This window comes from Homo sapiens, chromosome 1 (assembly GCF_000001405.40).
Source record: "Homo sapiens chromosome 1, GRCh38.p14 Primary Assembly".
Classification (NCBI taxonomy): domain Eukaryota; kingdom Metazoa; phylum Chordata; class Mammalia; order Primates; family Hominidae; genus Homo; species Homo sapiens.
This window is the reverse complement of record NC_000001.11, coordinates 59,504,379-59,531,090: the sequence shown is the minus strand read 5'-3', so window position 1 is coordinate 59,531,090 and position 26,712 is coordinate 59,504,379. Positions and strand designations below refer to the sequence as shown.

At 42.0% G+C, this 26,712-nt stretch overlaps 1 protein-coding gene across 59 annotated transcripts in view, besides 2 other annotated features; it reads right to left on the bottom strand.

Annotated features, from left to right (window-relative positions):
• Window positions 1–26,712, bottom strand: part of FGGY (FGGY carbohydrate kinase domain containing) — a 466,353-nt gene that overhangs the window by 231,640 nt on the left and 208,001 nt on the right. For 58 of the 59 annotated variants that reach the window (XR_007061929.1, NR_103473.2, XR_007061930.1 and 55 more), the window contains one exon: window positions 18,652–18,780. Coding sequence is in view for 55 of the 59 variants with exons in the window: in XM_011541731.2 (XP_011540033.1) it covers window positions 18,652–18,780 (129 nt within the window). In the remaining 4 variants the exon portion in view is untranslated. Of the gene's footprint in view, window positions 1–15,295; window positions 15,462–18,651; window positions 18,781–26,712 lie in introns of those variants that run through there. The other variant, NM_001278224.2, reaches the window with a different exon arrangement.
• Window positions 18,867–19,067: a silencer, noted in NCBI's record as "peak256 fragment used in MPRA reporter construct". NCBI's record gives its function as "represses an SCP1 promoter by STARR-seq MPRAs in K562 erythroleukemia cells {active_cell/tissue: K562}" and the evidence as "EXISTENCE:reporter gene assay evidence [ECO:0000049][PMID:32103011]".
• Window positions 23,742–23,811: an enhancer, noted in NCBI's record as "active region_1110". NCBI's record gives its function as "activates an Ori minimal core promoter by ATAC-STARR-seq in GM12878 lymphoblastoid cells {active_cell/tissue: GM12878}" and the evidence as "EXISTENCE:reporter gene assay evidence [ECO:0000049][PMID:35858748]".

Genomic DNA, 26,712 nt, shown 5'->3' with positions numbered 1-26,712 from the left:
TTGCTTCAGAGAGCTATATATGTAGCACTTTAAGCCCATGCATTAAAGGACCCCATCACTGTTCATCAGCCTATTTTTAATTTTTTAATGTCCCCTCTTGTTCCATTGATACTGCCTTGGAACTGCGTCAGTTCTGGCCTTCAAGGTCTCTTACAACAGTCCCGTCTTCTGGTCCATTAACCTCACTGCCTCTAAAGTTTCTGTTTACAAGCTAGTACCTTAAGGATAAAAATTCCAATCTCTTTTAAATGATGTTCAAGGCCCTCAAAAACTTTGTCCCCACATATATCTCTCACACTTCTATTTCAGCATACTCTACACTATAGTATACTCGGTATTCTGCAGCCAAAGGGGTACCCTCATGCTTCTGGATCTTGGTGCATACTACCTCCCTCTGCTTCCCTCTCCTTCTCACCCTCCTTCCTGCCTAGCCGTCTTGTCCATCTGATAAATTCCTATTTCTCCCTCCAATTCATCTTTAAGTGTCAAACCAATCATTTTTGGGGGAAGGGGAGGGAATTTTACTAACTTGCTCAGGTAAAGTGAGGTTAGACTCCTGTAATAGCCCAGACATGCTTTTATCAGACACTTTCCACATCATACTCGGATGGCTTACTTGCCTGTTTGTCCAATCAGAATGGGAGCTCTTTGAGGACAGAGACTATAATTTGTTCATATTTATATCTTTAGTACCTAGCACAGTACCTGACATGAAAGGCAGATATGTTACCTGTTGGTTGAAGCTAGGAGAAAATAATATTTTTGCATAGTCAGCTATTAATTATTAAAATTACAGCATATTTTATCTATAATTCTAAGTTAGCAGTGCTGGGTGACAGCCGGAGAATAATCCTTGTACTTTCCTACAGTATGTGCACTCTATGGCAAGTGTTTTCTCAGCTTTGGGAGGCCTTTTGTTTTGCTTATTTAACTTCAGGATTTACGGCTCTACTTTAAATGAGTGAGTATACTAGATATCTCCATCTAAGACAATAGATTTAAATGAATGCCCAGTTTGAGACTGGATGAATTACCCTGACTGCCTTGAAGTTAACAAGTTATTATTATCTTCTGCCAAATATGAGATGAAATCTATTTCAAATTAAAAAGGAAAAATACTTTTATACATTTAATTTAGTAATAGCTATGTAAATAGAAAGAGCTAGAAGAATATAAAGAACATCAAAAATTTTAAATAACTTGTGCCTAATGCATGGATTTGTTTTAAAAAGTTGTCAAACTCCCTATCTTCTTTTCAAGCCCCACTGCCAAAACCTATTTCAGGAAACCTCTTTGCCTTTTCCCCCAACTATTGTGTATAAAAGTATATAAAGCCATGCTTAAAATGAATCTCTGGCTTGAGATCACCTTCAATGATTTGCCAATGCCTCCAGGGAGAAAGAGGAAGCACAAACTCCAAAACGGTACTCAGATGGGACAGACTCCCAATCTATCTCCACCTATTTGATCATTATATCCTCTTCTTCCAGGAATCCCTTAGAGATATCATAGATTTCAGCCAAACTGAAATGCTTACCATTCCACGACCTCATCTCAGTGCCTCCATTTATGTTATTCTCTCCATCCAGAATACTCTACGTTTCATTGCTTCCAGTGGAGAATACACCTATTCTCCCAGATTCATTCAAAGGCTATCCCTTCCCACTTCCCAGAAGGACCATGGTAGCTAACCTCAGGGGGTTCTCACTGCCAGCTGTGTGACCTTGAGCAAGCTGCTGGAGTCAATGTGAAGATTATACATGTAGACTCTCTAGCATATTTCTATCAGGAAGGTCCCTCAATAAATATTAGTATTTTTGTCTTTTCTTTGCCTTACTGTTTCAACTGAAAGTGATTCTTCCCTTTTTAAAATTCCTGTAGAACTCAATCCATCTGCCTCTATTTCTTTGTATCACTGTATTTGCCACAGTAACTAGTCTAGTGCTTAGCATGTTAAGCAAACCCATTCATTCACGCATGTATTCATTCATGCATATATTCATTCATTTACTGAGCTAAGAGACACAGAGATGAAGATGACTAGATTCCATTGTTCATAAAAAGTTCACAGTCTAAGTGGGACAGACAGCTATATAATCATCTATTTAGGTGTTTAAATAGTTATTGTCTGCATGTTACATTTAATGATGGATATGCATAAGGGAAACAAATTATTAGGCCACGCATTTGGCTGAGCTATAATGATACACCACAGTAAAGCAGACAGTATATAAATTCCTTTGAAGAGCCACATTACTGGGCATATTTAATATATTTCACAAAATCCAATTGCGTGGGTTTTTCTTTACAACTTTGAGCTGTGAGAGGCCTCAATCCAGAAGGCATATAAAGTTTTCATTCATATTATTGATACTGGTAGGAGACTCCCATCTGAGGGTTTCATGGTGGTGAGTCACAAGGCTGATATACTTTTAACTCCTGAGGCTAAATCCAGCCCAGGGACCTGTAACAATACAGATCGACAGCCTAACACTTTATCTTTCAACAAAATAGAAGAGGCTTAGCTTTCCCTAGAGCTGAGCATTTGGTTAAAAGATGCCCCATGTCTTCAGGTTTTAGAACATTAGAAGAAAATCATCTACAGCTGTTAACGCTGGCTTGGGTGAAGCTATATAATGGTAAAAGAGAGCAAGCTGGGGCCAGACAGACCAAGGTTCTCTCTGTTCAACCACACTAGCTGCCTGAGTCTAAGCGAGTCTCCTTCCTCTCTTTAAATGGGGGTGGTGAGAATGTGCACAGCCATAAAAGTTGCTGTCCACATTAAGTGGCATCTAGGTAAACAGGTAGTATCCAGCTCATGGGAAGTATAACACATTGGAAAAACTCTTTATTGCTCTACTTTTGAAACAAAAAATTTAAAATGCAGTCTTTCAATTAGCCTGGATTCAACTTTGCTCTTTCTGGATTATGTACAGACAGTTTTTGATGGTAAACAACGTTGAGTCTAATTAGTCTGCCCCTCTTGCTATCTTTTAAGGTACCACTGGTGAAGTTCATCAGGCTCATGTGTGGGCTGGATACAGTGCAGATATTTAGGCCCCAGTTAAAGCCACTGATCAGAATGAGTTGTGGTGGTGGGGACCCAGCCATCCGCATTTTAACTAGCTCCATGAATGCCTATGCAGACTCAAGTTTGAAAACTGCTGCAAGAAGTAATAAGAATGGAAATCAGATTAAAAAAACCTATAAGTCATTCTAAGTTTAAATTGAAATAATCTTTTTATTTGGTTATCTATATTATGAATTCGATTAACGATGGATGATTGGAAGTAATCAAAATAACCTATTTTCTCATGTTGCCCCTTCATACATTTTCCATTCTGTCTCCAGTAAACAGTAATTTCTAACTAAAACAGGAACAGAGGCAAGTTATGTGGGGTAATTTGTCATCACCACCAACAAAATGAAGATGCAAACATTTACAAGTATGGGTGCAGAAATCCTAAGGGGCTCTGGAAGAACATTCAGCAGCTCAGACTGCAGTGAATATGAGCAAACTTTGTATGTTTTTTGTTTGGGTTTGAAGACTGGAGAAGAGACAATGGGGTGAAGAGAAAGGGGCAGAGATAAAATTGCTCTCACAAAAGACACTGGCAGAAAGAAGAGTGGGTATGAGACAGTGAAATCAGCACTGCCCACCCTCAGGCCTGGCAGATGAGAAACAGTGATCGTGAAACACTGAAGGTAGAGATGCAGGAATACAGTTTCCTGTGCAACTATGACTCTACAGGGTAAGTGCGGTTGCAAAGATAAAGTGCTAGGCACTAGTAGGGAGCAAATAATTTCGGAATCCTCCCCAGAGCCTGACAAAATAAATATCTGCTTAATTTCACTTAAGTAAGCTTTTGCTCTAAGCTTAAAATGAGATGGTATCTTTTTACTACTTTAATGGAAGATCATCCATTAGTATTAAAAACTGTAATTACACTACCAAGGCACATGCTTGATAACGAAGAATATTCCAGATATTTTTCACATCAAAATCAGTGCTGAGAAAGCTATTTGAACAGATAGGTTTGCTTGAAATTAATTTTAGCATTCAATCTCTTTGGCTGGGAATTTAAGGCCTTTTACATTCTAGCTTCCAACTGGGAGTAGCTAACACTTGTTGAGTGCTTACAATGTGTCAGGAGAAGGCATCTCTAAAATAACCCTGTGAGGCACTATTCCCATCCCCATTTGCAGAAGGGAAATCTGAGGCACAGAGCAGGTAAGCTCTTTACTAACAAGTGGCAAAACAGGGGTTTGAACCCAGGCAGTCTGATTCCAGTCAGAGTGTGCTACACAGGCTCCGTCTTCCCGGCTGCCTCTCGCTGCCCCTCTCGCACATTTGAATGGCGAGGTGGCCACACCAAAATGTTCCTTGATTATGAAGGGCATTTTAACGTCCCTGAGCCTCTGCACATTCTACTACTGCTTCTTAAAAGGCTTATCCAAGTTTTCACTTTCTAGGAGTTTTCACCTCCTAACTTGTCCTGGAAGAGCTGGCTGATCCATTCCCTATACTCTTGTAACATTTTTACACCGCCTGGAAAAGCAGTATGCAAGTTGTATTAGGATTTTTCTGAATACAGATCTCCCATTTCCACCAGCTGCTGAGTCATCTAGAGAAGGGACTGGGTCATCTTCATCCTGGTATTCCCAGTGCCCAGCACATGCTTGAGGCAAAGTATGTGCTCAACATATATTTGCTGATTGAAAAAATCTCTGCCTTGCTTTTTACACAATGAAATATTTCCTCTCTTCATTAAGGTATGTTTCCTCAAATGTCCCCATTCTAGACTGAACTTTCCTGACCTCTGTATACCAGTAGCACCTCCTGGAACTTTCCATCACTTTAATCAGGACTATTCTTCATAACACTCAGCAGTACCCTATGCAAACACATGCATGCATATCCACTCACATATACACATACATATATACGGACACATGCATATACACTCATGAACATTAGAATATACACACATACACATAAACACATCACAAATCAGACACACACATAAATGTACACATAAACAGACATACAAATAGGGGCATGCAAACATGTGCATGCACAGTATATACACATACACACACGCATTCAGACACAGGCATGGATGCATATGCATGCACAACTACATACAGATATACACATGTAATACACATACATGTATAAATACCAGATCCATGCATAAACACATGTGTATGAAGACACTTATAAATATGCACATATACAGAGACACACAGTTATGCACACATACAATACATATATGTATACTTACATATACCTATAAATACATATGTTTAAATGGGAGTTTATGAACGTCCCCAGTAGGATAGAAGCTCTATAAGAGAAGGAGCTTGGCTTTGTTTACCACTGTATCTAACATACCTATAACAATGCCTGACACACAGAAGGAAGACGTCATCTACCTGTAAATCAAGTAATAAATCTTTGATTTTCTCTTGCTCACTGCTACTATTCATAATGTAACTTTACTGCAATCACATTAATCATAGCTAAACACACACAGAGTATGGCCAGACATTATTCTAAGTGCTTTACAAATAAAAGCTCATTTATTACTCAAATCTATGCAAGAGGTACTATTATTCCCATTTCTCAGATGGGGGAACTGAGGCATGAAGTACTGTCATGGGATCCTCGGGGTGTCACTTTGCCAGCCGGAAACCTCTGTGGCTGGTGGCATCTTCTGCCTGAGTATTGCTCGTGCCTGCTGGGCTCATTCCACCCACTTGGCCCAGCAGGCTGGGCTCAGCTCACGCCACCATCCTGGATCCCACACCTACCAAGGGTGACCCAGGCGTGGAGCAGTGAGGGGTGTGTGGGTGAGCAAGTGCAGAGTCCGGCCACTGCACACAACCAGACAAGCAAGCTGCTGTGGCAGGGGAGGCAGCTACAGGTGCTGGCACAGGTGCCAGCTCCACGCAAGGCTGCAGCTGGATCTGATGTGCTGCATGGGGCTTCTGCTATGGGCACCCGCATCTGGATGAGGGGAACACGGGCACCTGGAGGCTTGGAGATGCCATGAACCTCAAAGCCTTAAAGACAGTGTCACACCCCTGGCTTGGGGAGCCCCTAGGTCTGGGCTCCATGAAGGGCCACAGCTCTTCTCTCCTCATTGCCCACAAAGTAGCGAGTGAGCCGGAGGGATGTGTTTCCAGCCTTGTTTGTATTACAGCTCTTTCAGTCCTGCCATTCAGTGGGTCCTGAGTTCTTATCCTACAACCTGGAAGAATGAGATACACAGACAACTGCAGGGTGAGCAAGGTGGAGAGAAGCTTCATTGAGTGACAGAATAGCTCTCAGAAGACCCAAAGTGGGTAGCTCTTTTCTGCAGGCAGGTCGTCTAGATGAGTGTCCAGCTCTCAGTGGAGAGGAGACCCGAAGTGGGTAGCTCCTTTCTGCAGGCAGGTCATCCCAATGGGTGGAGAAACCCAAAGTGGGTAGCTCCTTCCTGCAGCTGGTAGTCCTGAGTCTGTCCGTGTCTGACTGGGTCCAGGGATTTTTACGGGCTCAGAAGGGAGGAAATGAGTACTGATTGGTCCATGGGTAGCCATGGGTGGACCCAGAAAAAGCAACACAAGTTCTCACTCTGGGCCACAGACTCCACTTGGAACTGGCAGTCCAGCCACCAGGCTTCGGACTGTCCCTGGCTTGAAGGTGGGGTTTCGCCAGGGACCCGCTCCTTTCTGCCCAGGAGCCTGTCTGCTTCCTCCTGCCATCAACCCGCCACCCAGTCTGTTCCTACTGAGGCACCTGCAGGCCTGAGCCGAGCTGCCCTCAGCTCCTGCCATGCTCGTTGGCGCCCAAGGTCCAGAGAGGGCCAAGGTGGCAGGAGGCTAGCGTGTCAGCACCACCTCAAGTGCATGTACACCTGGCTGGATTGTGACAGCACTGGGCTCAGCCACAACTCTGCCCCACTCCAGAGCAGGCACCAGCAATGGGAAGAGGCCAGGGAGTAGGAGCAAGCATTTCCAAGTCTGCAAAGGAAGGGGGGCTTCCTGGGCCCCTGAGAGCGTAGGGATGCCCAGGTCCAGAGCCGCAGCTGGGCGGCTGCAGATGTGCCTGGGAGCATGGGGCTCCCACCCTGCCAACTTGGTAGGGGACAGGGCTCCCACCTGTTCTGGCCCCAGCCAGCTCTGCAGAGTGCATTCCTCTACTGCAGCCAGCATCTTCGCAGTGGCTGCTCCAGATGGGTCACTGCTGCCATCAGTGTCAGATGACTTCCAAGGGCAAAGAGACAGCTGATGGAACCAGTAGTGTGTTTTTAACTATCTTACTGTGTTTACCTCAAGCATTTAAATTTTTACCATCTTCAGAGAGCCAAACTCTTACATCAGAGTCATAGTACAAAGCACAGATACAGATTAGAGGTATGGAAAGGTGGGCTGGGGGGACTGCTGTTGAATGATATAACTGGAGACTAGTATGATTTTTCTATATTCAAAGAAATTTTCCTTCTTAGTTTCCCCAGATATCTATACTAGCTACAGAGTGTACTGAGGCAATGCTCAAGATGCCCATATGGAAAATTTTTAAAATTATTTCTCTTTGCTCTTTACAATGACTGATATGAATGCACAGCTAAGAGAAAACTGAAAACAAGGAAATGAACCAGGCCTGTGGAGAGATAATAAGGAAGAAGCCAGCAGTTTAGATGTGAGGCTGCCGCCTTGGGGCAATAACTAGAGATGTGTATTTTCCCACCATCAGCTGCTGATGTGCAAGACCCAAAGTAAACATTAGTGCTTAGAAACAGTATATGGATGTGAAGCACTATCTGTTGAGTTTTTGTGCCATGAAAAACAGTGGACCTGATCCTACTCTTGCAGCCAGTGACGCAAGTGCAATCTTAGACTCTGGGCCCCCAAACACACACTTTTCTAGCAGTCCGTACCTTTTGAACTTGGAGTAGGAAGTCCTCCTAACAGGTGCTTGGCAGTGTCAGAACCAGTGGCTGGATTACTGTGTGTTTTTTTGTTTTTGTTCCCCAGTTCAGCAAAGGAAAATAACAGCTCAGCTAATTTTCTCGGCCATATACTAATACAGGAGAGAATAAGTGAAACCTTCTGTTTAAAAATGGCCCCAGAATACCAGATACAGTTCTGTAGTAGATGAGATGATCAGAGCTTGTTTAAAATGAGAGGCTCTGGGCACAGAATAAGACACCTTGCTCCATTTACTAGGTACTACTTTTCCATTGTTTGATGCAAGGGTTGCACTAAAGCTGATGTGAAGACAGAGGCACACAAATAAGGGTTTGAGTCTTGGATCCAGTCTTCCTGGTCCTGTAACCTTAGGCAAATCCCTTCACCTCCTCGAAGGTCAGTTTTCCCAACCATTCGTGGGAGGTAAAAATACCTTCCCTATTCCAAGGGTAGTTTAAAAACAGCAAGTCACTACAAAAAGATTAAGATTAATCTTTGAGATTGAGATTGTAAGCATTAATTAACAAATTTAGTAAACAAAATTAACGTCAACATTAATATTGTTTATCTCTCCACCACACAACCCCAATAGCTACGCATCCCATTCCTACCCTGATCTAATAAGCCTGGCCTTATTCCCCATGATTGATGGAACCCAGACTCCTGTGCTGCTTTAAATACACTTTATTAGAGTCACTTCTCCACCCTGGGCCTCAACTTTCTCATCCATAAAATAGATCTACAAACGTCCAGAAGGATATTAAGCAGAAGCTCTATCTTCCACTATAGATACAAATATGCATTGGTGTAAGTATGGGCTAACGTAAGTAAAGGCACAAACATACCTACACACAAATAGATTCACTAGCCAGGTCAACACGGGAGAGCTCATAGGCTCTGCAATCGGTGGGTCCAGGAACCCAACTTTATAATTTATTAAAATGTAACCTTTGGCAGGTTCTTAAACCTTCATCCTTGTATGTTAAAGTCCAAAAATAATTGTAGCTCACAGTGTGGTTGTGAGCTCACAATAGTGAATAGTCAAGTACCTAGCAAAACACTTGGCACAGCATAGGTATTCAACGATTGGTAGGTGAAATAAAAATAACTGCTTTGAGCTCTTTGGAAGGAACTCGAATAGCAGGTGTTTTTATTATTTCCAGCTCTGGAGGAGATTCTTTGGAGCTTTTTGTAGATTGTGACAACAAAACAAAGAGATTTACTCAAGTGTGGCTCAGGAAAACTAAATTACCTATTTAATAACCACCAGTGAAGCTGCCTGTGGCCATTAAATGGGATATAAGGTATAAAATGGAATAACAAATCAGGAGTCATTCCCTTTTCCTAATCTGGAGACAGTGTAGTACAATGGGGCGGGGACCCTGGCTGATGAACTAGGTCACTCAGATTCTAAATTTGACTCTGAAAGTAATATGCTGGGGTAACTTTGGATGATTCACCATTGTCTGGGCCTCAGTTTTCTCATCTGCAAATTGAAGAATTTGGTATACAGAATCTTTGAGCAGCCTTTTAGTTCTAAAGCCTATGATTACTCATTATCCAAACAGGAGTGTATGTATTAAACTCAAAATATTATGGTTTCATGGCAGGTTCACAGCCATATACACTGACGTGTGGCACAAGATTTAAAAACTGGGGACACATGGGGAGCTGGCAATAGCACCAGGCCCTGGATTCTCTCGGTTTTCTTCCACAGAGTCAAAGTCTGGTCTCTCAGCTAAGGCCAGCCTTCTGCAGTCCAGAGAATCACAGCACTCCAAGAAAGCCTTGGAGCCTGGGAACAGGAAACTCAGTTATCCTTCCCCCCACGTATGCTCTCTGCCCCTCCCTCCATCACATGAGCTGTTGCCACGGCTCATGAACTGCCGAGGTCTCAGGCAGTAGTGGGTCGCATTAAACCGAACCTCAACTTAAAACAATAAACTTGCAATCCCATGAATACGTTCTTCCTCTGCCCTCTGTGATTCACATCCAGGAACTCCCAGAGTTGTCCTTGCTCTATCTGCTCAGGGACTGGCACGGTTTTCTCCTTCCAGATTCCACGGCATGACTTTATCTGCATTTCTAATCCCCCCCCACCCCCAATTTCTTGCAGACCGTCTGCCTCTTTGGATCCATATTCTCTCTCATTTTGGACAAGCTCCCTCCTGCCCCCAGCTTTTGGCCAGCGCCTGGCCTGGCTCCTGCGCAGCACGGTTCTGCTCTGGTCTGATCTGCCTACTTGGCAGAAACACATCAATACTGCTTCTGACCCCAGTGTCCTCAGTGCCAACTCATCCCCCCAGGCTGTCTCCTCTGGGTACCAGGTGACATTTTCCACACTTAGAACAAGATTCCAGGCATCCTCAGCAGGGTAGGGCATGGGAATCTATATTTTCTTAAAGTCTCCCTCACCTATATTTACCAATTCTTATTCTGGATTTTTCAAAACCCTCTTATATTTATTATCTTAATTACTAATAATAGTAATTAAATAATTACATTGATTTAGTGAAGACCAGCTATGTGGATTTCATGCTGGATGATGGGCATACAAACGTGAACATGATTTGGTGAAAAAACTGAAATAGTTGTAAAGTATTTCACAGATACAGCATAGAGAGTGATTGGTGCTTTTCTAAGAATGGATTAAATTTGGAGATGTTTCCACAAAGTAACATTTAGACTGAGTGCTGATGGATGAGTAACAAAGGAAAGGAGGTGGAATGTGCATGATGTGCTGAAAGACGGCCAAGTTGTCCCGTGTGGCTTGACTCTGAAATAGATGAGCTAGAAACCATCCTGTCCTCCCTACTCCTCAGGCTTCACTTCTATTATTTTCTTAATCTCACAACTACTTTTACTGAAGAGTCAATTTCACAAAACACATTTCAACAAAGTACTAATGTATCAGCAAAACCCTTATTGTGGGCTGCTTTTTGGCTTCTATAGAAATAAGCTGAATTGATGAAGAGAAATAATATCACTGGAGGTGTTCCAGGAGAGAATAGGGTTTCTCACCTTCAGTGCTACTGACATTTGACATTTGAAGCTGGATAATTCTTTGTTGCAGGGGGTTGGCCTGGGCATTGTAAGGTGTTTGGCAGCATCCCTGGCCTCTACCCACCACAGGCCAGTGCCATTTCCCTTTCCCCAGAAGCAATAAACAAAACTGTCCCCAGACATTGCCAAATGTCCCCTGAGGGGTCAAATCACCCCTGGTTGAGAACCACTGGCCTAGAGAAAAGATATATGAACCTTGGAGGCAGACTCAATTTCAAATCTTGCTATGAGATTAGTTATGTGATTGTGGAAACATTATTCTTTCTGCCTTCAATTCCCTCATGCAGAATGGGGAAACAACCTCTACCTTGTAGGCTTATCGTGAGGAGCAAGATATAAAGTCTGAGCAGTATCAGGTAGAGTACTTGGCACATAGGACACATGTAAGAAATGGTCATCATAGTAGTACCAGTCAGAGTGGTGGTTGTATTTGTTCTAATTAACAATGTTATTATTTTATTATTAGAAATGAAGCCTAGTTGAAGTTTAAAAGTCGCAAAAAATATATAAATTCCACTTTACCAGGAAGCAATAACAGGGAAAGCAGTGTCGTAATTAGATTACTGGACATCACTCCCTCTAGGAATCCTTTAATAATTGTTTAAGTCTCAATTTTAGGCCCATTTTATGTTTTTCCAAAGCCTTCCATACACGGCACAAGTAACCGTAACTGTTTATTTACTTGTCTATTTTCTTTACTAGAATACAAATTCCCAGAAGTCCACTTCTCTCTCATAGTCACTGTCTAACCCCATGAACTAGTAAAGTGGGTCGTCAATAAATATTAAAGACTTTCCTTTTTCAAAATTTGTTACTTGCTCACATTTTTAGGGTCAAATTAAAGAGCAGAGTGGATCATGTTTAAATAGGTAGGCCATTCTTTATAACACAGTGATAAGTGTGCACAAAGCATGGGCTTAAGTCACGCATCTCTCATTTAACTGTGTAGCTCAGAATGTTAGGTAGTCTTGTGAGCCTCAACTGTCTCATCTGACAAATAGAATAATAGTATGTATAAAGTTGCCTTAAGAACTAAGTGTAAGATAAATATCTATTCTTGAGTTTATAATACACTGAGCCTCAGCTGTTTGCTGTGCAAAATGAGGGAACACATACCTGTCCTAACTTCACTACAAAGTTGCTATAAGGAGCAAATTCTATAATGAACATAGATGTGTTTTGTATTAGTCCATTCTCGCATTGCTATAAAGGAATACCTGAAACTGAACAGTTTATAGAAGACAGAGTTTTAATTGGCTCAAGGTTCTGCAGGCTGTGTAGGAAGCATGATGGTGTCTGCTCGGCTTCTGGGGAGGCCTCAGGAAACTTACGATCATGGCAAAAGGTGATGGGGAAGCAGGCACTTCACATGGCCGGAGCAGAAGCAAGAGAGAGAGTGGGGTGGTGCAACACACTATTAAACAACCAGATCTGAAGGGAACTCATGCACTATCATGAGAACAGCACCAAGGGGATGATGCGAAACCATTCATGAGAAATCCACCACCATGATACAATCCCCTCCCACTAGGGACCCCTCCAACACTGGGGATTACAATTTGCATGAGATTTGGGTGAGGACACAGATCCAAACCATATCATGCTTCATAAATCAAAAGTTTACAAACGCAATGGACTATTGCCAATAAGTATATTTCTTTATCCATCATGCTACATTTAGTATATATACTACTTATAAATAAATGTTCCCCCCAAATCACATTATCTAAAGTCGCAGGCTTTAGATCGCAGCCTTTATCCTGTCTTCTAGAACACTGATAATGGTGAGAAATGTTATTGGCATGTTTTATTGTTTACTGGAACAAACTATGTGTTGTTCTAGGGCATGAACCAAAGGCCCTTTTTGCAAGACTGGCTCAATAAATTCTTCCATTTAAAAAGAAAAGAAATTCAAAATCCTCATTTTGGCCTGGCTCTGCAATTGAAATGAGCAGTTTAAACCAATTCAATATCTGGCCCAGATGAGCAATTTAAGCCAGTTCAACATCTGCCAAATAATCCAATATTGGTAATCAAATAGTTGTGCTAAACCAAGGAACAAAGCTTGCTCTTGGCCGAAACTTGGTAATGTGATGAGGGCAAAAAGGAGACAGATTTCCAAACATCTAGAAGAACCCAAACTTTTGCTCCTGCAGAAATAAGCCAAGTATAACTATTGTATAGGGACAATTGCCTTTGAATGAGAGGTTACTCTCTCTCTCAGTTGTAATATCCGTTCCTCATGGAGGGAATGCCATTCATTCATTCACTCATTCACTAAATACGCATGTGTTAAGGGTCCTCCATATGTAAAGCACTCTGCAGGCTGCTGCAGTGGGAGTATGAAACAACAGGTTGCCCAAAGAGTTTATAAATTAGTAGATGAGGCAATGTGGCACACACAAACCTGCAAGCGCAAGACACAGTGGGGGAAAAAGAGAGTGCTTAAGTCAACTTGGGAAGTCAGGGAGGGCTTCCCAGAGGAGAACAGGATTCAAGATTTGATGGATAATCAGGAGTCTGTCTGCCAGATAAGAGCAACTGATTGGGAGGCCGAGGCGGGCGGATCACGAGGTCAGGAGATCGAGACCATCCCGGCTAAAACGGTGAAACCCCGTCTCTACTAAAAATACAAAAAATTAGCCGGGCATAGTGGCGGGCGCCTGTAGTCCCAGCTACTTGGGAGGCTGAGGCAGGAGAATGGCGTGAACCCGGGAGGCGGAGCTTGCAGTGAGCCGAGATCCCGCCACTGCACTCCAGCCTGGGCGACAGAGCGAGACTCCGTCTCAAAAAAAAAAAAAAAAAAAAAAAAAAAAAGAGCAACTGAGAAGAGAAGGGCCTGAGACAGAAATCAGGTTGTTATTGCCTTTCAGGGCAGTTGGGGTGCTGGAGCCAAGAAAAGACCTGGAAAAAAGTTAATGTTATTTTTATAAGCTAGAAAAATATCAGCAGCAGGAGCCCTGGCCAGAACCACCCCCACAAAGTGCAAACAAAGCTACTCCTATCTTCTGACTGTCTGCTGGAGAACTTACTAACCAGCACCTTAAGAACAAAATGTTCTTTTATCATTGATTTTTATTCCCACAAAGCCCTTCCTCCTCTTTTTCCAGAACTGGGAAAAGCATGGGTTGAGTTTTGCTTGCTTCTTTGATCTTTATCCTCCCATCCCAGGCCTCCCTTGGGAATGAAAGTCCAGGGGTATTTCTCTAAAGCAGAGTGCTGACCCCTCATACTAGTCAGAATGTGGGGTTTCAAGCAGGCCATGCCAGGTCAGCATTTGAAGTGACTACAGTTGTCAGGGTTTGTTGGTGAGAGGCCTGGATGGCCTCTTCCTGGGTGGCAATTCCAAATCCAAAGCTGTGTCTGTACTTGACATTCAGAAATCTCTTAACACAGGGTTCATTTAGCCAGTTCTTGAGGCTATTACTGACCTCAACCTATACAGAATCACAAAGTAGTGAATCCTGCATTCTGTTGTCTCTCACTCTCTCACTGCATAACAGGAGACAAAAGTTCTGCGAAGCACCATATTTGTAGGCAGAAACACAATCTAAATCCAGAACTTAAAATTCCATTTTGAGTGCCCTTGTCATAGCATCACAATATGTCTCAGGGATTAGCTGTCCCAAACCTATACTATTAAGCTACAAACATGCAGGCAGGGGAGAACAATGAGAATTTTCTTTCCAAAACGAATGGACTTTGCCTGACTTGTTCACTGCTAATAATCTCCAGTGCCTAGACCAATCACTGACAGGTTGCATTCACTCAATTATATTTAGTTAATATAGAGTTGGACCCATGGACAACCTTTTCAAGATTTTCAGGCATCTGTTCACCTCCACATCCTAATAGGGGTATAGGAAAGGTAGAAATGAAAGGAAACATTTGCACCCAGGCCTCCTAATTTTTTTGAGATATCCAACTCTTGGATTGGCTGTAAGGTGAAGGGTAAAGAAAGAGGCATAAGAAGGCATAAGAAGGCATAATAAGGATAAAACATAGTCAACATATATTAAGTAAGTCTGTATCAACCCGTCATCATGGACTATCACCTTCCTGTGCCCTTCCCAGCCACTGCTGGCATCTAAGTTCAGGCCTTAAAGAATCCAAGATTCTTATTCTATCTTTCCATTAAAACAAAAAAAAACTATTCTATCTTTCCACTAACAAAAATATGGGGGAAAGTTACTAACTTACTGCATTAGTCCATTTTTATGCTGCTGATAAAGACAAACCTGAGACTGGGAAGAATAGGATGTTTAATTTGACTTACAGTTCCACACGGCTGGGAGGTCTCATAATCATGGTGGAGGGCAAAAGGCACTTCTTACATGGTGGCAGCAAGAAAGAATGAGGAAGAAGCAAACGCAGAAAAGCCTGATAAACCCATCAGATCTTGTGAGACTTACTATCACGAGAACAGCATGGGAAAGACTGGCCCTTATGATTCAATTCCCTCCCCCTAAGTCCCTCCCACAACATGTGGGAATTCTGGGAGATATAAGTTAGTTGAGATTTGAATAGAGACACAGCCAAATCATTATCATTCCGCCCCTGGCCCCTCCCAATCTCAGGTCCTCACATTTCAAAACCAATCATGCCCTCCCAAAAGTCCCCCAAAGTCTTTACTCATTTCAGAATTAATCCAAAAGTCCACAGTCCAAAGTCTCATCTGAGACAAGTCAAGTCCCTTCCACCCATGAGCCTGTAAAATAAAAAACAAGTCAGTTACTTCCTAGATACAATGCGGGTACAGGTATTAGGTACATACAGCCATTCCAGGAGAAATTGGCCAAAACAAAGGAGTTTCAGGGCCCAGGCAAGTCCAAAATCCAGCAAGGCAATCAAATTTTAAAGCTCCAAAATGACCTCCTTTGACTCCAGGTCTCATATCCAAGTCACACTGATGCAAGAGGTGGGTTCCCATGGTCTTGGGCAGCGCTGCCTCTGTGGCTTTGCAGGGTACAGCCTCCCTCCCAGCTGCTTTCCCAACAGTCCTCCAAAGTCTTAACTCATTTCAGAATTAACCCAGAAGTCCACAGTCCAAAGTCTCATCAGAGACAAGGCAAGTCTCTTCCCTCTATGAGCTTGTTACCCAGTACCAAAGTTGTGTCCACATTTTCAAGTATCTTTTCAGCAATGCCCCACTCTACTGGTACCAATTTACTGTATTAGTCTGTTTTTATGCTGCTGATAAAGACATACCCGAGACAAGGAAGAAAAGGAGGTTTAATTTGACTTACAGTTCCACATGGCTGGGGAGGTCTCATAATCATGGCGAAGAGCAAAAGGCACTTCTTACATGGTGGCAGCAAGAAAGAATAAGGAAGAAGCAAAAGCGGAAACCCCTGATAAACCTATCGGATCTCGTGAGACTTATTCACTATCACGAGAATAGCATGGGAAAGACCGGCCTCCATGATTCAATTACCTCCCCCTGGGTCCCTCCCACAACATGTGGGAATTCTGGGAGATACAACTCTGTGGAGATTTGAATGGGGACACAGCCAAACCATATCACTTACAAGCATTTGCATTTTACGGGGAACAAAAGGCTTAAGCCAAAGCTTCTAAGGGTAAAACTTCTGCCACTGAACATCTCTGTTTAGGAAAAAGGTGAGGGTCATTGACAGTCTCCCCTCCTGGAGGACATAGTGAGTCCTGGGCAGAAGTGAGAAGGTGTGTTTTGGCACGTCCCTGAGGGAAGTCTGGGAAACTGACAAGGAAACTGTAGTGCCTGCGGCTCTTCAAGCAGCAGTTCTCTTTCTTTCAGCATATGCCGGTCCCAGCCAAGTGATTGTCACCCAGGTAGGGGTGGATGATTGACACTGTCACCCCAGGGATAATTTAAAAAGCATGACAGAGAAAGCTTTTGTGGCCTCACACATGATCTGGAATGTCAGGATTGCTAGGGGACAGAAACACTCCATGTCTGCCTAGACCTCAAGTTCTCTCTGTGCTTGTATGTAAAAACCAAAATCTTAACATTCCAATCAAAAGCACACATTGCTCACACTGAAAAGTATTTGGAGAGAAACAACCTTGCCTGTAATCAGAACTACGTTACATAGCATTCAACCAACCTACATATATTATGAGTTGTTTACTAATTCTTAGGCACTGTTTTAGATCCTGAGGACAGAGAGATGAACAGGACAGACATGTCCATAGATTGATGAGAGCGATCCTGCTCTGGAAATCCATGTAGTATGTAGAACAAGGCACCATTTAATAATCCGTTGCATAAGAAAACAGATTAATCTTCACTCTACTGTTTAAAGCCATTTCACCTTATTCTTGCCTTAATGTGACTATTCATTTAATAAACTTAATAAGCAGCTATAGGAACCAGACATAGGGCTTGGCATGAAGGATACAGGACAGATAACATAATGTTCCTGTTCTCAAGGAGTTCACACTCTAATGGAAATGACATGCAGATATATTTGAAATTACAATGCAATATGATCATTTCTTCAAATAGTGTGCTGAAAAAAAGCATAATTTAGAGAATTTCTAAATACACCTGAGTGTTTCATGGAAGGCTATGCAGAGCAGAAAGCATCTGATATGGGTCTTGCAGTTAGAGGAGGAGTTAGCCAGCTGGAGAAGTGGAGGACCAATCATTCTGGACAAAGAACATGTGTGCCAAGTCACAGAGGTGTAAATGCATGGGCAGAGTATGGAAGTGTCTGAAAGTATACACACACAGAATGGAAACACAGCTCCACAAAGCAGTGCCTTCCCTTACTTTGTGAAATGTACTCTGATGTTTTCCACTTTGTTCTATTCAATTCTGTTCCATTCTGTTGTGCAAATTCAGTGGTCATGTCCTGCTAAATTGATCTCATGAATTATAAATCATAGTTTAAAACAAAACATTGTTAGAATGAAAGGCTAGGAAAAAAATATATGGCTACAGTTGAGATGAGAGATGCTGAGAACCAGAACAACTTCCCCTGCAAAAAACACACACAACCTGCAATAAGGATGAGGAAGTCATCATTCTTTACTGTAATTCTTTGTTTCCCTGTGTGTTTTCCCATTAAAAGCTGGGGAAGAGACTTTGGTTTTATTTGGTTTTGTTTTAAGTTCACTGTCTTCTAGCACCATGCCTGGACATGGTAAGTGTTCAACGGGTGTTTTATGAATGAACAAATGAATACATGAATGAAAGACTTGAGAGTTATGTACAAGATAAAATCAAGACTGCAGCCAAGGAACTGGATACAGGACATAAGCCAAATATATTATTAAAATAAATCTAAGAGACTTATAAGGGTTTTGGAGTACCTTACAAAAAAACAGTAGAGCTAAGTGTGGCAAGAAATTAACATATCTTTTTTGAATTTTCAGTAAACAAAAGAACTATGCAGAAAGTTATTCAAATACATTTTTTTCTATTGCCATGTATAAAGAAATTAATACAATTATAAATAAATTTTATCATTAATGAAAAGTTCTGTAATTCTATCCAAATGCCTAGCTGTAAAAAGGCTTTTCATTATTATATCCTGAAACACCAAAGTCCTTGACCTTTGCTTTAAAAACAGAAAAGGAGTGTCTTCGGTTCTAGGGAATATTCCATTTGAATACGGTTTTGGCTGTAGGCAACAAATAAGAGATTACCTAGTCCTCCTGCATGGGCATCAATGAGTGAAGCTGCGACCGCAATCCCAGGGAGAAGGCCAAGGTCTCTTGCTGCCTCTGGTGTGAGCCCATTTCCAAGAGAAGCTCCAGGAGGTAGCACTTGGTTTCCTGGGTAGACATGAGAAAAAACAAACACCATCAGTTTGAAAAACACAAAAGTAAACAGAGGGTTTTTTTTAAGAGAAACTCTTTGCTCTCTCCTCCCTCCTCTGCATTTGCAAAGATAAAAACCATGCAGTCATCAAGAGTCCCTTTGCTCATCCAGTGACTTTAGTGTACGTGCTTGGTACCTATGGGTCATGCTTTGTGGAGCTTTACAAACAAGGAACTCTAAAGCATCATTCAAACCAGATAAAGATTCTGAAAATGGGAAATTTCAAAAGGAATATAAACACAGTAGCCTCTTAAATACAAGGTTTAAATGCTCAAACCATTCCAAATGGGCTTCCTAACACAGCAGATCTACTAACCTACTTAAACGCACGTAAACCCACATGTTCACACATCCATACACCCTCTCTAATGAACGTATATTCCTAAGTCAAGAAAACTTACTCTTTCAGTTGCTTCCTGGCAGAGGATAAGAGGAAAAAGGTGTACTTTGTACCAACAAATAATTAGTTAAAAAGTTTTTCTCAGCTGGAAAAAATATTCCAGTCTAAACCTTTGCAAATTTTACAAGGCTGCCACTTGCACAATCATATAATACAATTTGAATGATGTTCTTTGGAGTTGTGCAATGCAGTGACCCTGATTTTTCAAGTGACCTTGAATTCTTGCAGTCAGGCCTTCAGTTAAGAATTGATTGTCTTGCTTTGTGTGGGTGCTGTGGGGCTGTGAAAAGCAGTCCTTGCCCCCAACCTAGTTAGGAAGACAAGATAAGAACCCAGAGAACCACGTAAGACAGAATAGAATGAAATGATCCATCTGCTCCTAGGTGTTAAACAGAGCCCGAGCCCTCTCTCATCCCCCAAGGATTCTATAGTATTTCTGCACTGCAGGGAGGGGCTAGGAGTTGACTCATAGATATATTAAGACCCCTTTGAGCCCCAAGATAGAATCTGGGTGCATAATCAGCAATTTTTGAGTGCTAAGATGCCACTTGTTAATTGTTCCATGGAGCTCAAGGACTGGGCAGAGGTGCTCCAGGACCTCTGGGGGTAGAGGTGAGGGTGGAGGTTGGGAGAGGGGTCAGAGAGTGAACAGCTTAACCAACCTCCTCTAAATGGAACCAAAGCACTTTGACGACACCATTTTTATCCATTTTAAGAGCTTCTATCTACAATTGAATATGAAAACAAGTTTAGCTAAGAAGAGTAAGACTGAAACCTCTGCAGTGACTTCTAGAAGAACTCTGCTGTCCAATATGGCAGCCACTAGTCACATGTGGGCTGAGCACTTGAAGTATGGCTAGAGTAACTCAGGGACTAAATTCTTCATTTTATTTAGTTTTATTTAGTTTTAACTTCAACTTAAAAACTGATATTAAATTCAGTTACTGAAAAACTTTTAAGTATGTTCGGAACAACTTGGGTATGCGAATCTACTTTTTCTAGATTAATTTAAGAAATCTAAATCAAGTATTTCCAACAAAAATCTAGCGTCTGAATTGAGAGGTGTTAAGCGGAAAATACACACCAGATATCAAAGATTTCATCTGGAAAAATGAATGTAAAATACCTCAATAATTTTTATATCAATTCCATGTTAAAATAATAATTTGAATATACTAAGTTAAATAAGATACATTAAAAATTAGTATCACTTTCTTCAGCATGGCTACTAAAAAATTTAAGATTACATATGTGGCTCATATTATATTTCTATTGGACACTGATGGTCTGGAGGATAAGTATAAGATGCTCAAAGGATGGGGCAGAGAACAGGAAAATCTTATTCTGTTTCAAATGCCAAAGTAGCAGAAACCTGGAAGAGAGCAGTGTCCTTGGCTTTGTATAATACGGTTCTGGACAATATCTTAATTATGTCACTATGGCTAGTATCTAACACAGGAGAGACTGCACTCCAGTTTGCTGAGCACTTTCATGCTAGGGACTGCACTAAGGACATAGCATGCATTTTCTCATTTCATTTTCATATTAACCCTCTGTGAAGGGTACAATAGGACCCATACTACCCCCATTTTACAGACAGATGGGAAAATTGTGGTTTACAGAAGAAAAATAAACACCCTAGAGACAGCCTAAGAGCTGAAGACAGGCCATGGGTTCTACTCTGACTGATATCCACACCTCTGCTCTTATTCATTACATTACCTTTTGGAGTAAAAGTTGTTTAAAAATGGGTTCTGAATGGATGAAAGGATCAAGAGAAGTATTTTTAGAACAAGCATTATGTATGTTAAAAAAAAAAAAAAAGAAAAAAGAAAAAGAAAAAGGAGCACCGTTTAGAAATCTTGCCTACTAAATTGAGATTTTTTAAAAATGGTTTTCATAGGAAGGTCAAAATGGAAATTCTGTTCCACCTTCACCCCCAATCTCCACAAACATAAAAGGTGTAATTTTTATAAAAAAGGTTCTAGACAGGATTAGCAGGGTGGGGCACTCTTCCAAGTTTTCTCTATAGTAATTTAGGAAGAAACCTTAGCTGGTAAAGGAGCTTAATTTGATTCTATGTCCTCTAGGCTCAGAACATGAGGCTGCAGACCACTGCGAGGCAGAGAGAGTCCTGGGCATGCAGACAGGAGATCTGGGTCTAATTATAGGCTATAGGACCACAGGGAGCTTCATCAGCAGAGGATGCGTCTTGAGCAAGGACAGAAAAAAGGGAGAAGGGGCCCCTAAGGGAACTATCAAAAGGGCTAGGTAAATTGGAACATAGGCTGGGGTGTGAACTGGTAGGGGGTGGGTGTTGAAGGACAGAGGAAGCTGGGGAGGCAGATGGGGCAGTGGATGCAGGGCCTTGTAATCCATACTTAAGTGTTTGAACTTAATCATGAAGCCCACTGTAAACCACTAAAGGAGCATTAAGCCAGGAGGAAAGCGATTAAACTTGTGCTTTTTTAAGCACTCTCTGGCAGTATTATAGCAGAGGATAGACTGGGGTTAGGGAAAATAGTGTGAATCTATTTCAGTAATCAAAGAAAGAGAGAGAATATAAGGATCTTCACTGAGATATTGGTAACGGAGATGTAGAAACAGAGGCAGACAGAAGGGATTCCATGGAACAAGAAATAACAGGTCACAGTGGTTGCGTGGATATAGGAAGCATGGTAGAGACTGAGATACCATGGCTCAAACTCCCCCTTAAGGATGGAGTAAAGTCAGCAGACAGCTGCCAGATGTTCCAGGGCCTGCCTCAGTTGCAGAGAGCTGCCTTCCCAAGGTGATGCACCTCCCAGGACAGCCAGTACCTGGTGACTTTGCAAAGCAGAGGCAGAAGGGCTCTGATAGACACCACTCACTCCAGAGACTCTGCTGAGTTCACCAAGGTGCTGCAGGAATGCACCTCAGTTCAGCTCTTTTCCCTCTACCCAGTCCTTCTCTCTCTTCCTTCTTTCACAGCCAACCATCCCTAATAAACACCTTATCCCCCCAAATCTGTCTCAGCCTTTGCTTCTGGAAAACCCAACCTACAGCAGTGAACCAGCCTTCTCCTCAATCCAGTGGTTAGGGATGAAAATAAATATATACAAGGACAAATATCCCATCTTTCATTTGGAACCACAGCCTTCAGGAATAGGCTATCTGGACTCCAAGCAGGAAGGAGCTTTGTTTATTTAGAGACCAAAATGAAACAGCTTGGCATGAGAGAGGATGATAGAAATAGGTGAGAATCCCTGAGAAATCACCCCTTCAAAATCACACTCTAAGTTTATCAGCCAGAGGTACACTGAGGGCACTAGAGCTGTCAGAGGCAAACATTAGTGCCTCCTGACAACTTTTCCCAATATAATCCTTGTTTGGCTTTTCTTTCACCATAAAATTAAATTATTCACAGCATTGCTTTTCCCAGAAATCAAGACTTCACTGCCTGAGCATTTGCAGTTCTTTCTAGGCTTCATTCAAGCATTCATTCATGCATTTTAACAAACATTTCAGAAACAATAGAACTAATGATTGCCTGCATAGATTTCCATCTACCATGTGCTAAGATCTAGGTGCTGAGGTCTCATATTGTGGTTTGGGACAAAGATGATGAAAAACTAAGACTCTTAGGGCCATGTAGAAAATGCTAGAAAGGTGAAATGTGTACATGGTGTTCCCAGAGAACTGTGGAGGGTCCAGTTAGGGTGGCTAGTAGAGTGAATACAGTCTTCAAGGTGAAGATGACTTTCAAGCCTGTGTGGAAAGGCAAGTTGGAGATTGGTGGTTTCAGTGCTGGCATGCTCCGGGGAAAGGGATGACAGCAGAGCAAAAAGTGAGTTTCCTGTAGGGAGCCCTGAGGGGCATGGTGTGTTTGAGGCATTTAGTATGTCGCAAAAAGGGGAACAAGGAGGAACAGAGAACTGGAACAGACGGGACAAGAGGCAGCGGAGGGCTTCAGGCGTGGCCAGGCAAAAAGGAATTGCCCAGAGGGGCACGACTGTAAGTGCTCAGGTTGGGTTTTTAAGAAGATAAATGTGGCCGGGCGTGGTTGCTCATGCCTGTAATCCCCAGCACTTTGGGAGGCCGAGGCAGGCAGATCACAAAGTCAGGAGTTTGAGACCAGCCTGGCCAACATGATGAAACCCCGTCTCTACTAAAAATACAAAAAAAAAAAAAAAAAAAAAAATTAGCCAAGCATGGTTGCAGTTGCCTGTAATCCCAGCTGCTTGGGAGGCTGAAGCAGGAGAATCGCTTGAACCCAGGAAGGCAGAGGTTGCAGTAAGCCGAGATTGCGCCACTGCACTCCATCCTGGGCAACAAGAATGAGACTCCGTCTCAAAAAAATAAATAAATAAAAAAGAAGATAAACACACAGTGTAAAGAAAAGCTTGGGGAATAATTTTTATATTTAAAACAGTCAAACCAAGTGAAAAATAGAGGCTGCAAAACATGCAGTATATGACTTCCTTTTGTTAAATTAAGTTTAACTTAAAGGTGTCCGTTTGTAACTTCAGCCTAAAGGTTTCTTCATACACAGTGACTGTAACTTAACTGGATTTGTAAACACACTGTAACCTACTCTTGTAACTAGAAGCTGAGTCTCAGCCAATCACAGAAGACATACTTCAACCACCCACAGGCGGCCAACTGTTCAAACTCTGTTCAAATAAGGCCGATGCAGAGCTGTACCCAATCCAGCTGTTTCTGTACTTTACTTCCATTTTTCTGTACCTCACTTCCCTTTTTCTGTCCGTAATTTCTCTTCAACCATGTGGCTGAGCAAAAGTCTCTCTGAACCTATTCTGGTTGGGGACCTGCCCAATTCATGAATCATTCTTTGCACAGTTAAACTGTTAAATTTAATTTGCCTAAAGGTTTTCTTTTAACAGCTGTAAGAACAACAACAATGAAAGTAGATGAACTATTTGTAAAAATACATTCCTAGGGGAAAAAAATACAGAAAATAGGTTTTCTCTGGGTGGAGGAATTATGAGTGATTTCTTTTTTCTTTCCTTTTTTTCTTTTTTCTCTAATTTCTAATTGGTCTACATTTCTTGTGTAATTTTTTTTTTGAGACAGAGTCTCGCTCTGTTGCCCAGGATGGAGTGCAGTGGCACAATCTCAGCTCACTACAACCTCTGCCTCCCAGGTTCAAGCGATTCTCATGCCTCGGCTTCTCAAGTTGCTGGGACTACGGGCACACGCCAGCACGGCTGGCTAATTTTTGTATTTTTAGGAGAGACAGGGTTTCGCCATGTTGGCCAGACTGGTCTCGAACTCCTGACCTCAAGTGATCCACCCACCTTGGCCTCCCAAAATGCTGGGATTACAGGCATAAGCCACCATGCCCAGCCTCTTGTATAATATTTTAAAAGATGTTTTTCCCCCTTAAATCTGGTCAGAATCCCACCTTGCCATTAAAATGAATGAACTTGAATTAAGGTATAGATTTGGAACTCCAAGATAAATTCAGAAAAAATGGCAAGATGCAGAATAGTATTCTTAGTATGATCATGTGATTTTTTTTTTTAAAGAAAAGGATATAAAAATGTAAGCACATAAACTTCCAGAAAAACCCTAGAATTTTGTCACAGCATGGGTTGGGATCCAGTGTAGGGTACTCTTCTCTAATGTTTGTGTTTCTTATATCCCATGACCTTGTATGTCTTTTGTGATCAAAACAATCTTACGTTGAAATAAAAACAAAATAAAGGAGAATACTGGACACTTTTTCCAAACACTGCTCCACAGTCTGAAGGCAGGAAAGAGACCCAAGGGCAGTTCACCTATTCTCTTGATTTGGCTGTCTCTGTCTCGGTGTACACACCCTCACCTGGGTATGTAAAAACACTATCACTCTGAGAGCTCTTAGGCTCAAGTCTGCTGAATTCCCATTTGGATGGGCAGATTCAGTCTGAGTGGTCAAAAGCTGGAATCTACAATTATCTGGTGGTTGCAGTCCCTCTTCACAGGCGGGGGCTCCTATTACACCAAATCTTCCCCTACCAGTTTTTCAATTATCTATGACTAATGAGCACTTTGGGAACAGTTTCAGACACACACATAATCCTCTTTCCTGATGTCAGCAGCAGAAATTAATGACTATGTGGACTGCTGGGAGACAGAAAATGCATTATAATGGTCAACAGAACTGTTATCCTCTCCAGGAAGGGGTAAGTGGGGGCGGGGTGTTGAATTAACTGGAAGGTTCAGTGTTCTTTTGTCTTCCCACATATAATGAGATGAAACCCAGGAGGAGAGTTGGTTCCAGGCCCATGGAAATGTCAGAAAGAGCTTTGGGCATGGGTGGCATGTGACCCTGCTTCCTCTGTGCTTGGCACTGGGGGCCAGCCCCCAGCTCAGTTTTGCCAAAGTCAAGAGGCCAATCAGATTGGCTGGGAGAGTACAAAGTGGCACCATGTCTTACCAGCAGAGAGGGTCCTGGAGTCCTTTCAGACTGAACCTACAATCTGGTTTAGGGGTGGGGAAACAAAACTTTATGATAGCCTCATCACTTACTACAGAAATGTTTAATGAGTACCTGATACGAGCCAAGCACTGTTCTAATGCTAAAAATGCATTAAGGAACAAGATAGTTAAGGCCCCTACGCTCAAGTAGCTTACTTTCTAGTCGACACTATTCCCATCCAATACCTCTTCTTATGCCATCTTGTAGTTATTACATCTTGTAGACACCTATGCAATTTGGACTGAGTTTTATATAATGTTATATCCCTGGCCCGATAGTCTGGCCTATAAGAGGTGTTTAATAAAGAAACACACACATATTTTTAATCCAACTTAAAAATTATGACCCTTACGTTGTGTTTTATTTTTTCCCCTATTTATACCTCGATCTCTCTTTCCCACTAGACAGAGAATAGTTCAAATTATTTTATTTACCTCTATATTCATTTCCCCTCAGCACAACGTCAGCAGTGTCTAGAACATAAGTTCTCAGCAATGTTCATTTAGCTGAACTTAGTTTTTTTAAGACGAGAGATCATAAGACAAAGATCAATTAATTTAGACAAAAACATTAAACATACACTCACACAGGAAGCTGAATATCAGTTGGGAGAGTAAAGAGGAGAGACTGTATTAAGTTTAACTCTTGATCTTGAATGCTACTGGGACAAGAAATGTGTTTTCTAACATAATCCCACCAGTAATACACTTTCATCTCTCTATCTTATTAAAATGGAGTATCTCAAGGCTGTTGAGGGAAAAACTCTGAAATCATGTTTTTCCTCTGGTCTTACACCACAGCAATCATCCACATAGAAGGTGACTTCTGTTACTAAATGTGTAGGAGTTTCTCCCAACCACCAAGCAAGCACTTAATTCTGTAGCAGACGCCAGCTGGATGTCATTTAGTTCAATTCTGACATTATCTACTTGGAGATTGCATCAGATCTCACAGATTGAAGGCTCAGTCCCCAAGAATGCCCCCAACCCCACGCACCAGACACCAGTGGCAAGTCCAACTTCC